This window comes from Homo sapiens, chromosome 5, assembly GCF_000001405.40.
Source record: "Homo sapiens chromosome 5, GRCh38.p14 Primary Assembly".
Taxonomy (NCBI): domain Eukaryota; kingdom Metazoa; phylum Chordata; class Mammalia; order Primates; family Hominidae; genus Homo; species Homo sapiens.
Window position 1 is genome coordinate 79,429,233 of NC_000005.10, and position 12,991 is coordinate 79,442,223.

The 12,991-nt window shown below is 35.6% G+C and overlaps 1 protein-coding gene across 5 annotated transcripts in view; it reads right to left on the minus strand.

Moving 5' to 3' along the window:
• Positions 1-12,991, minus strand: part of HOMER1 (homer scaffold protein 1) — a 141,499-nt gene that overhangs the window by 56,597 nt on the left and 71,911 nt on the right. For 4 of the 5 annotated variants that reach the window (NM_004272.5, XM_047417894.1, NM_001277078.1 and 1 more), the window contains exon 5: positions 9,778-9,917. The exons of the other annotated variant lie outside the window; for it this stretch is intronic. In NM_004272.5, coding sequence (NP_004263.1) covers positions 9,778-9,917 — 140 coding nt within the window. The remainder of the gene's footprint in view (positions 1-9,777; positions 9,918-12,991) is intronic. 5 annotated transcript variants of the gene reach the window in all.

Genomic DNA, 12,991 nt, shown 5'->3' on the forward strand with positions numbered 1-12,991 from the left:
ATAATCCCAGCTACTCGGGAGGCTGAGACATGAGAATCACTTTGAGGCATGAAAATCGCTTGAACCCAGGAGGCAGAGGTTGCAGTGAGCCAAGACGGCCCCACTGCACTCCAGTTTGGGTGACAAAGCAAGACTCTGTCTGAAAAAAAGAAAGTGCAGTACTGGCATAAACATTGAGACCAATGGGACATAATTAAGACTCCAGAAATAAACCCTCATATTTACCATCAGCTGATTTTTGACAAGGGTGCCAAGGTTCAGTGTATAAAAAGCAGTCTTTTCAACAAATGGTGCTGGAACAACTGGATAGATGTGGACCTCTATCTCACATCATATATAAAAATCAATGGACCAAAGACCTAAATCTAAGAGCCAAAACTATAAAACTCTCAGAAGAAAACATGTGTTAATCACTGTAGCCTTAGTTTAGGCAGTGATTTCTTAGATATGATACCAAAAGTGCAAGAAAGAAAAAAATGAATTAGACTTATTTAAAAATTTAAAACATTGGCTGGGCGTGGTGGCTCACGCCTGTAATCCCAGCACTTTGGGAGGAAGAGGCAGGTGGATCACGAGGTCAGGAGATCAAAACCATCCTGGCTAACACGGTGAAACCCCGTCTCTACTAAAAATTTAAAAAATTAGCTAGGCATGGCGGCGGGCGCCTGTAGTCCCAGCTACTCGGGAGGCTGAGGCAGGGGAATGGCATGAACCCAGGCCGCAGAGCTTGCAGTGAGCCGAGATTGAGCCACTGCACTCCAGCCTGGGGGACAGAGCAAGACTCTTCTCAAAAAAAAAAAAAAATTAAAACATTTGTGCTGCAAAGCACCAAGAAAAAAAAATAGTGAAAACACAACTAATAGAACTGAAGAAAATATTTAAAAATCAATTATCTGGTAGGAGGTTAATAACTAGAAATTATAAAGAACTACAACTCAACAACAAAGAGACAAACAGTCTAATTAAAAATGAGCAAAGGATCTGAACAGCCATTTTTCCAAAGAATACCCACAAGTCACTAATAAGGCCCATGGGAACATGCTCAATATCATTAGCCATCAATGAAATACAAATGAAAGCCACAATGAGATACCACTTCACACTTAAACCAGGATGGCTATAATAAAAAAGACAGACAATAACAAGTGCTGATGACATGGAGAAATCAGAACCCTTATATATCTGCTAGTGGGAATGCAAAATGGCACAGCTGCTTTGCAGTTCCTCCAAAGGCTAAACATAGAATTACCACATAACCTAGTGATTCTACTACTAGGTATATACTCAAGAGAATTGAAAACATACATCTGCACAAAAACTCATACACAAATGTTTATAACAGCATTATTCATAATATTGGAACTTTCAAAAAGTGGAAGCAACCAAAATGTCTATCAACTGATGGATGGATAAATAAAACATGGTGCCGGGCGTGGTGGCTCACGCCTGTAATCCTAGCACTTTGGGAGGCCGAGGCGGGTGGATCACGAGGTCAAGAGATCGAGACCATCCTGGCCAACATGGTGAAACCCCGTTTCTACTAAAAATACAAAAATTAGCTGAGCATGGTGGCGCACGCCTGTAGTCCCAGCTACTCGGGAAGCTGAGGCAGGAGAATTGCTTGAACCCAGGAGGCGGAGGTTGCAATGAGCTGAGATCCAGCCTGGCAACAGAGCAAGACTCTGTCTCAAAAAAATAAAAATAAAAAAAAAATAAATAAAACATGGTATATTCATAGAGCAAGAATATCAGACAAGAAAAGGAAATGACATACTGATACATTCTATAACATGGATCAACCTTAAAAACACATGCTGGCCTGGCGCAGTGGCTCACACCTGTAATCCCAGCACTTTGGGAAGCCAAGGTGGGCGGATCACTTGAGGTCAGGAGTTCGAGACCAGCCTGCCAAAATGGTGAAAGCCCATCTCTACAAAAAATATTAGCCGGCATAGTGGTGTGCTCCTGTAATCCCAGCTACTTGGGAGGCTGAGGAAGGAGAATTGCTTGAACCTGGGAAATGGAGGTTGCAGTGAGCCAAGATTGCACCACTGCACTCCAGCCTGGGTGACAGAGCAAGACTCAAAACAAACAAACAAACAACACATGCTAAGTGAAAGGAGCCAGTCACAAAGGCCACATATTATGATTCCATTTATACGCAACGTTCAGAATAGGCAAATCTATAAAGACAGAAAGTTGATTAGTGGTTGCCTAGGGTAGGTGGAGGGAGAGTGTGGGTGTATAGGGAGAATGACTACTAATGAGTACAGGGTTTTTTGGGGGTGGGGAGTAACGAAAATGTTCTAAAATTCACTGTGGTGATGGTTATACAACTCTGTGAATATACTAAAAACCACTGAATTGTATACCTGAGGTAGTTGTTATTTAGTATTTGAATTATATCTCAATAAAGCTGAGATATAATAAAACAAGGTCCCCAAAATTAACAATTTTGTCAACAGTGAATATACGGCCAAGCTAAACTCTAAATGGAAAATGGCAGACAGAAAACAAAAGTACAATGTACATTTATTTAAACTGTTCAGTCATATCTACATTTGACACATTCTACAAGGAAGGCAGTCCCTGGAGAATGACCACTTTCAATATCAGTGATTGTGACCTTATTTCCACATGAAGTATGAATCTTATGTATTATCCCCATGAAGCAAGAACTGGATCCAATCTTTACAGAGATTTCTTTTAAAGATGTAGACTAGAAACTATGTGGGTTACCTAGTCTCCAACCTCTTTTGGCTTCATTTTAAACAGCTTTAATATGTTTAGGTGAACCCTGCACACTCCATTTTACCAAAGGCCTTACCACTATTTACTGTCACATATATCACAAATGTCACACATTTTGTGGCTTGCCTGGCCTCTGCCTAGGTTTACACCTTGATCTTGGCCCTAACTATTTGGGTAAGAGGAAAGATGGCCAAATCCAAAGGAAAAAAACATTCTTCTCTACGTCCTAGAGCAAAACTGTCCGTATCACCTACCTCCCTTCCAATGAAATCCCCATGTAGCAGGCTAAGAACAGAAATGGAGGGGAAAAAGGAATTTTTTAAAGCCCTCCACAAGAAAGAGATCATAATTAATCTAGGATCAATCTGTTCCATGGCAAATGACCACACCTGTAATTCCAGCTAGTCTTCTTGAAAAGAGAAACTGAGAATCACTAGGAATGGATTGATGAACAATTCTTTCCCATTAATTGTAACAGTAAGGCAGAGGTAGAGAAGAGGAAGGGTCTAATCGCCATTGGAGGTGGGTTAGTAATGTCTTTATCTCACATAAAGAATAGTTTTTTTCTTGTGAATAATCTTTACCAAGTGATAGTGCTTGACAAAATGGTTTAGCAAATTTTAACACTTTCCTCAAAATCTTTAGAGAATGAAGGTCAGTTCTTAAAAAAAATCAAGACATGAAAATGTAAATGTATCTATTCAGAAAGCTAATAAACACTCTTAGTCACTAAATTATATTTATTTCATCTTATTTTAAAATATATAAACTGCTTCTCAGTTTCCAGAGAATGCAGAACAATGTACATGACCAAATTACTACCGTACTTCTTGTAAAATACTATTGTTCACAATTATAGTAAAAAAATTCTGACATCTCTAAATTGTTAAGTTATGATCTCTCACAAATATTCCTTGCCTTCAAATTAATCTAGAAAAACTTAATCTAGTTTTTGAGGTTTGATAGTGGAGGAATAATGATATTTAAGTCAATTATTAAAGAGAATCCTACAACTTAAATTTTTCACCTACAATTATATCAATGATAAAGTCACTTCTTGTGAAACCAAGTCCCAGCTTTACATACAGTCCACAGTCTCATCCAAACAAAAGTTATTCCCAGAAATTATTTCTATTCTAGTTTATTACTATAATCTAAGATTTGCTTACCACCCATTAAAAAGGGAAACATGTCACAGTGTGGAGAATATAGTACCTGAGAGCTCTTAACAGCCATTCACTTTTTTCCTGTTTTTATCATCTTAAAAGTACAGTAAATCCAAACTATATTTAAGATCAGGGCTGGGCGTGGTGGCTCACACCTGTCATCTCCTTTGGGGGGCCGAGGCAGGTGGATAATTTGAGGTCAGGAGTTCGACCTCAGTCACCAGCCTGGCTTACATGCTGAAATCCTGTCTCTACTAAAAATACAAAAATTAGCCAGTCGTGGTGATGTAAGCCTGTAATCCCAGCTACCTGGGAGGCTGAGACAGGAGAATGGCTTGAACCCGGGAGGTGGAGGTCGCAGTGAGCTGAGATCGCACCACTGCACTCCAGCCTGGGCAACAGAGTGAGACTCCATCTCAAGAAAAACAAACAAACAAAAAAGATTAAGCACTTCCTTTTGTATTTTAGTTTGCATTTATTCTGTTAAATATAAAAATTTTGTATTTATTTTGGTGTTTTTGTATTTAAGCAGCATTTAGTTAAAATGCTATGTAAAATTTCCAGTGAAATTTAGTTTTTGAAATTGCACAAAAATTCCTAGTCATAGTTTTAGAGTGTTTCTAAAACTTTGATGATAAATACAGATGGAGTAAACCCATACAGATGTCATACATTGTGATAAAACTGTAGTTATACTGATATAAAGCAAGACTAATATGCTAGAAAATAATATTTCTGCATACATCCTTTAATGATTATCTGTTGGAAACACATAATGTGGCAGAAAACAATCTCTTTAACAGAATAGAAGGTACATGCAATATCCCCAAAAATACATAAATTCTAGAAGCACCATGAGAACACGTTATCTAAACATTAGAAGAATCTAAATATAACCAGTGTTTAAAAGAGCCCATTTTCTATCAAGGTAATCAAACTGTTATTAAAATTTATCAGTACAAAAATAGCTTCACAAACTGCTAATGTATATGTCTTTTCTGAACTCTCGAAAATATGACAACAATTATTTATCTATATTGTACCATATTTGAGGATCAAAAAATTGTAATGAACAAAATGAAAACTTTTAGTTTTCAGTATTACATTGTGACAGCACTGGAATACTATAAAATCAACTATTTCCAAGATAATTTTCAGTGGCTTTAAATCTTTTTAAAAAAATCTATTATTATTTATTAAAAAAAAAAGTAAATTCTAGAATTCTAGACAGCTGATGCTATGAAGCAAACAAGAATTCCCTGGAAAGAGAACAAAACCTTCCCTCTTACGTATATGCCAGCCTATTAGTATATAGCTACTTTACTTGATATATAGCTAATCTAAGATTGGTTTCAAAGGATGTTCAAGTGTATACCTGCTCAATCTCAAAAGATATTATCATTTAGGTTAAAAAATGTTTTTAGAAAGAAATAGCAATTTAGATAAAATTTAATAACATTTCCCCCCAAAAAATCAGTAAACATTTCATCCTCATGATCTCCCTTTTTTACACGTCTCTAAACTTTAAAAATAAGTACACTAAAACAGTATTAATTCACTGAAGCTTATTCAATAAGAATGTTTTTGCATAGTTTATGACAAGGATACAGTACTATAGCACTTGACTAAGGAGTATTGAGCAGCTCATACATTTAAAATTTAGTTCAGCTGTATAGCTAAAAATCAAAGAAAGTAGTAAATGATTCAAGGTAATCTATAATGCCACTGAATCAGGTATGATATAAAAAGTTGTAATAGCTTAGTAAATAAGTTTTTCAAAAGTCCAAAAGTAATTTTAGAAAAGTATTTGTGAATTTGCTTTAAGAATAACACAGTGGAGGAGGACTAGATGAGGGCAGAGATGAAACAAGACTGGCCATTTTTTCATAACTGTTGAAGGCAGGTGACATGTTTATAGGAGTTCATTATAGTATTTTCTCTCTGATGTATGCTTGAAAATTTTTATAATAAAAAGTTATAAATACTAAAAATGTTTTAAATCTTGCTTATTTCTCTAAAGCTAAGTAACTTTTTAAGAAAGACTTAAAGAACAAACTAACCACATTACTAAAACTTTCAGTGCTAAATGAAAAGTAGGACCTTCTTTTGACATGTTAATTAACAAATTCATGAGGTTTAGTCAAAAATTTGAATTTTAAGAAAAGAACAAATGGCTTGCTAAGTAGCTATTACTACAGTCAACTCTTAACTAATCTGACTGACTAGATCACTGTTCCCTATATCCCATCTTTTTTATTTTTAGCACATAGACATTCTAGTGATTTTGCTCCTTATTTAGCAGTAAAATGGAATCAACTAAAACAGAAATACTGGCAAAAAATTTTTTTGCTATTCATTCTTCTCTGCTAAAACACATATTGGAGAAGGAAGGCAATATAGTCTAAATAAGCATTAAAAACTTAAGATTTTATAGCACTTTGGGAGGCTGAGGCGGGTGGATCATGAGGTCAGGAGATTGAGACCATCCTGGCTAACAGGGTGAAACCCCGTCTCTACTAAAAATACAAAAAATTAGCAGGGTGTGGTGGCGGGCGCCTGTAGTCCCACCTACTCGGGAGGCTGAGGCAGGAGAATGGCATGAACCTGGGAGGCGGAGCTTGCAGTGAGCCAAGATTGAGCCATTGCACTCCAGCCTGGGCAACAGAGTGAGACTCTGTCTCTAAATAAATAAATAGGCCGGGCGCGGTGGCTCACGCCTGTAATCCCAGCACTTTGGGAGGCCGAGGCGGGTGGATCATGAGGTCGGGAGATCGAGACCATCCTGGCTAACAAGGTGAAACCCCGTCTCTACTAAAAATACAAAAAATTAGCCGGGCGCGGTGGCGGGCGCCTGTAGTCCCAGCTACTCGGGAGGCTGAGGCAGGAGAATGGCGTGAACCCGGGAAGCGGAGCTTGCAGTGAGCCGAGATTGCGCCACTGCAGTCCGCAGTCCGGCCTGGGCGACAGAGCGAGACTCCGTCTCAAAAAAAATAAATAAATAAAAATAAATAAAAATAAAAAAATAAATAAGATTTTAATTGTGTTCCTTTGTGATGGGAAAAAATAATACTGTACCCAGTTTAAAAACTTGTGAGTTTTAGATTTCAATAAAATTTATTTCAATAATCTGTTTCTAATCATGAAACACGGATCTTATTTCCATATAGGTCTCCTAGGATAGGAACAGTTACTAACTTCCTGACACAACAATGTGCTTGTGTTGGGTATTTGCCTAATGTACTGTAACTGACAGTGCATACCAGAATCAGAGAGCTGAGTTGTAGACTCACAGTTGTTACTAATGAACTATGTGACTTACGCAACTCACCTAACCTCTGGGATTTAGTCTTCCACATGCCAAAGGCACACACTTTCAAACTTTGACATTTTACAATATAGTCAGCGCACACACATATATGTACACTACTGAAACAGTTTCTACCCTCAATATGAGTTTTACTCTAATGTTTTCTCTTTGGTTTCATTACATTTCATTTTTCAGAAAGCCACGAATGGCCTATTAAATTGATATCAAACTACCACAGTTTGGAAAATCATGGATTATATCATCTCTGAGGTTTCTTCTAGCTCTGATATTCTGGGATTCTAGCATTAACTTAAAATACTCAGTGTTCTATACCTCAGGTGGAAATCTTGTTTTCAGTCAAGTAACTAGTGAATACTGATTAATACTGATTAATGTAAAATCAAAACAAGTTCAGAGAATGTCTTAAAAAAATCCTGTGAAGTATTTTTCTGTAAGAACTACAAGATTATGTAATACCTTTCACATAATTAAAAACTTAAATTGACCTGTTAAATTTTATATTCAGAACTCTGTCAAGTATCTCCATGACTCATCTATAAATTCCAGTAGTCAAAGCAGCTATGTACTTCAAGTCAAAGTAACTCTTATTAGACTCTTGAGAACAGAGAAAAATCGTAGAGAAGACCAATTCCAGGTAGTAACTCCAAATACTAAGGATTAACAAAATCGTAGACATTTAGAAAATTTTAGGTGCATAAAGTAAACTAGAAATAGCTTTTACAAATGTTAAATACAGAATTTATTTCTAAATGCTACAGTATTCCACACAGATGGCTCAATTTAAGTGTTAGCCAAAGAAATCAAGTATATAATTATGTTCAGTGAAGTTTTAAGTCTGTTTATTAAATGGATATGTTAAATATAGTTTAATAGGAAGAAAATTTTTCCTTTCCTCAACATAGTAAAATATTTTTTAAAATTGCATACTAATATGATTATTTAATTGTAACTGCATATTTTAAAAGACTATGTAATGTAAACATATTATTCAGATAGAAACAACTAAAATTTTTCATGTGTTCAGTCATCTTTATCACTATAAACAGAAAATATCGTTATACCACAACAATAAATCTATAACTCCACAATATATCTACTGTTTTATGTAAAATTATTAGCACTGTTAGCAACAAATTAGAATAGCCTCACAGTTTTCCTCTGTTCATTCCTAAACAAACCTTTTTTGTTTTTTATAGACAAGGTCTTACTCTGTCACTCAGGCTGCAACACCGTGGCACAATCGTAGCTCACTGCAGCCTTGGATTCCCAGGCTCAAGTGATCCTCCTTCCTCAGCCTCCCAAGTAGCTAAGACTACAGGTGTGTGCACCAACATGCCTGGCCTAAGTTTTTACATATTTTTAGAGACAGGGGTCTCACTATGTTGCCCAGGCTGATCTTGAACTCCTGTCCTCAGGTGATCCTCCTACCTCAGCTTCCCAAAGTGCTGGGATTACAGGCATATGCCACTGCACCTGGCCATTCCTTAAAAAACCTTAACTAATTTTTTCTTCTTCCTCAGCCTGACAATGAGGTCTCCCAATGTTAGCCTCTACTAAGCCTCTACTAAGGGCATTTAATCCAATGCCCTTAATATTCAACAAATTTCAATCAAAATAAAAATTCTCATGAGAAAGAGGGTTGAAGAGTATCTCACTTCAATTTTGCTTAATATGCCAAAGGATTTTTTTAAAATTGGTCCCCAAAAGAAATGTTCAATGAAGGAAAATGTTTTCCTAACTTTAACTAAAACTAACCTAGTGAAAAGTTTCCAAAGAAGGACAAAAAATTAACTTTAAAACAGATGACTGATAGGTACTTGTTTTACATTTGCAAGATTGCAATTGCACAGACCTCCTTACATCCTAAATACACCAAGTATGGCCAATAATGAATGTAACTGGTTTGGAACACATTTAGGATAAATAGTATGTTTTCAGAGAAACAGATTCTTTTAAAATTCAAAAGCAAGTGAAGACTTATCTCCTGTTAGTTGGTGTGCAAAGATAAATCTGCCATTAACATTAACAAACCCATGCTAAAAGTTATCCCACTGTTTCCTTCTGTGAAATCACGTGGTGAGATCATCTCAAAGACTATGATAAAGCTTAATTTCAGAGTGGAAAGCCTACTTAAAAAAAAATTCCAACTTATAACCTTCAAGAACATACACAAAAATAGAAACCAGGTTAATAAAGGAGGCCTTTTAGAGGCTATGTTAAAAGACAGGTAGAAGCAACTTACAAGATTTTATTTCACTGAAAAACAATTTGTACTGTAATTAGCCTAGTGCTCCTTTTTCTACATAAAGGAAATGTTCACTGCAGTCCATCTATGCAACTATAAACTATAAATTAATAAAAAGTTTGTGTATTTCATTTCTGAGGTTAACAGAAGCAGTAAAAAAAAAAAAAAAAAAAGTCAAAGTCAACCTGGAGTTTTCACTCAAAGCTTGTAACTACAAGGGTTCCTGAAACCAAACATTTCCATATTTACACATTTACTTAATCATAATTGCTGAATTGAATCTGTACCTATGTGAAAATGGCAATGCATTCTGAGTTGGTTCAGCCCTTGGCTCTGAGTTCTGTGTCACATCAGGTGTTCTTTCATCATCTGTCCCGTTGATACTTTCCGGTGTTAAAGGAGACTGAAGATCCCCGCCTGCGGATTCCTTTAAAAAAAGGGGTGGGGGATAAAAAATAGTTACACTTTTGTTAAAGTACACAATATCATCTTGAGGTTAAAACTGCCTTTGATGTATGCTTACTGATGAACCAAATTTCAACTGAAATTTGAGTCAAAGACTTAAAAACATAAAACATGGAAATTTTTATTTTTTATTCATGGCAAGCTAGGAGAAAAAGTTTTTTGAAGCTGGGCTACTCACAAGAAAACTCTCTGAAACATACAATTTAGAAACGGAAATATAACACAATTTAGAAACAGTTTCGAATAATTTAAAAATGTTTGGTTTATTTAACTAATTGGTCAGAATAAAAGATATTCAAAGAATTACTATACTTCAGAAGAAAAGATGCACAAAAATGCAAGAAGATGTGATTTTGGTGAAAGAAGTAGATAATGGAAGGGGTACAGGAGAAGAAGTGGATGAGGAGAGGGGGAGGGCAAAGGGGTGAATGAAATTTGCAACACGTTTTATCTGCCCTACTTTTCAATCCCTATAGAGCTACTTAGAAAAGCAAGAAGAAATGCCTCTATAACCTATTATCTATAATGATGTTAGTGCATTTCAACTTATCTTGTCTGGTACTCATAGTGGGATTACTTTTCTTTACAAAATTTCCTGTCTTATTTCTACTTTTCATTAAGATTTTCCTTTCAAAGTAAATTTATTTAAATAACATTAAAATTTATGTCATTTTAAATAAATTGAATTTAAAATGAAGCTCAAGCTGACACTTATGTCTGCCACCATCAGATTATCCAAATTTGATATTGGAAATCAGAATGAGGAGTCATTTGATAGACCTATTAACTAGGGGAGGTGCTAAAACCAGACTGTTAAAGAGCAGCTTGGTGGACCTCTTATGATCCCTGGGCAAAAAAATGTTACAATTGAAATATCTGTCTATATTTGGGAGAAAAAAATAAGTGTCCAACAGGGGAGTGGTTAGGAATGATCATAATTTGTCAACTTAAAAAAAATACAAGATTTCCTCTAATAAAAATAAGACAAATATGAGCAATGTAGCATATAATTTTTAAAAATCAGAATGTAAAACAGTAACTGGGTTATATTTATATCCTTCACATTTAGAATGTTACACATGAAGTGCTAGAAAAAATATGTAAATATTAACGTGGTGAGACTTTTGTTTTTGAGACTTCTGGTTTTATACTGCTGTATGAATTTTATTTCACATTTAAGTATTTTAACTAATGGTTCCATAATGCTATAAACTATACAAGCTGTTAAAGATCAAAAGGATACTTTCTTAATTCCACATTATCACTTAACTATTTTTCAATTTTCAGTAAAACTTCTAATTTTGACCTTTAATTTCATTTTTATTAAATATTTCTCCTAAATCAGCTGTTTCCTTTAGCTGACAGTCAATGCACGAATAAAATCTACAGTATAATGTGACAATATAAAAATGTTTTACAACAAAGTCAAATCCTATTAAGTGAATAATGGGAATAGCAATCACAAAGTGACTACTTCTAGGTCAGTTATGGACCATATTAATTAGTCAGAAAAAATTTAACCAGCCAGTAAGATATCATAAAATAATCATCTCTGGTATTAACAAATCAGGCTTATTTCTCTCCAAGACAGGCCAAGCCAAACTAAAATAATGAAAGGTTGAATGTGCAACCTGCTAAACAGTTAAATTGGTGAAGATTCAATTCAGTAGAAATGATAACAGAAACAAGTTACCGGCCGGGACGTGGTGCCTCACGCCTGTAATCCTTGGGAGGCCAAGGCAGGCGGATCACCTGAGGTCAGGAGTTCAAGACCAGCCTGGCTGACATGATGAAACCCAATCTCTACAAAAATACAAACAAAATTAGCTGGGCATGATGGCAGGTGCCTGTAGTCCCAGCTATTCGGGAGGCTGAGGTGGAAGAATCGCTTGAACCTGGGAGGTGGAGGTTCCAGCGAGCCGAGATCACTGCACTCCAGCCTGGGCAACAGAGTGAGACTCCATCTCAAAATAAAAAATAAAAATAAAAATAAATTACCTTATTAAACTTAAAGGGCATAACTAGGGTTAGCAATTAAGGATTAACTCAGGGATTTGCTGGAACTGGTTGACAAGAGTGTGCAAAAGTACATTAGGATCAAAAGAGAGAGAGGAAGAGCAGTAGCAGTTTGACTCATGGTTGTTACCATCTTCTGGGATAAATGCTCCGGTCACTTTGAGGGTAATATAAGAGGGAGTAGGGTTTGAGGCATGGAACTTGGGGAGGCTACAAATGTTAATGCTACTAAAGTAGAAAGACTGTTCCCAGGGGCAAGTTAAGAAGGGGAGAAAGAAAGGGATAGAGGTTGTAGCAATTCCAACATCTCAAAGCAGCAAGTTTTTCTTCAGAAAACTTGAATATTAGCTATATTTAAGTAAAGGCATAGTTATCCTAGGTCATTATACCTAAAGTAAAAAACAAAAAGCCCACCCAAAGCATGGTATTTTATTTTTTTAATTTAATTTTTTATTCTGAACCGATCGAGAACTTGGGTTTTTTTAAAGTCAGTTTTAAAAATATAAAATTAGTATTTACTGATGAGAAACAACAAAAAATTCCAACAGTACATGAGGGCACAAAAGGAAAATGAAACCCTCTTTCCCTCCAACTACCGCAGAGGTAGCCAAAAGTATTCTGCAAAACCTTCCAGAAATTTTGCATATGCTAAAAATAGTACTTGAAACATGTTTTTTATTTAACATATTCTAAGCATCTATTTCTTTTTTAATCTAAATTGTGTGTAATTTCCTAAACATCCTACTTCAGTTATTCTTTTTTGGGGTGTGTGTGTGTGTGTGTATACCCAAAGCTGATAAGAAAAATGAAAAAAAAAAGCAAAAAATAAAATGAAATAAAAACAGATGAAATAATCTTTTCTATTGACTTTATATCCTTGCTTTGAGAAAATAAAACCACTTACATCTCATTTTTTTTCTGAGAAACTCTCCCTATAACTCCCACCAAAACAAATAATCTACAGTAAGAAAAAGGACAGTAACACTGAAGAAAAAATTTATTTTTGGAAGAACAAATCTG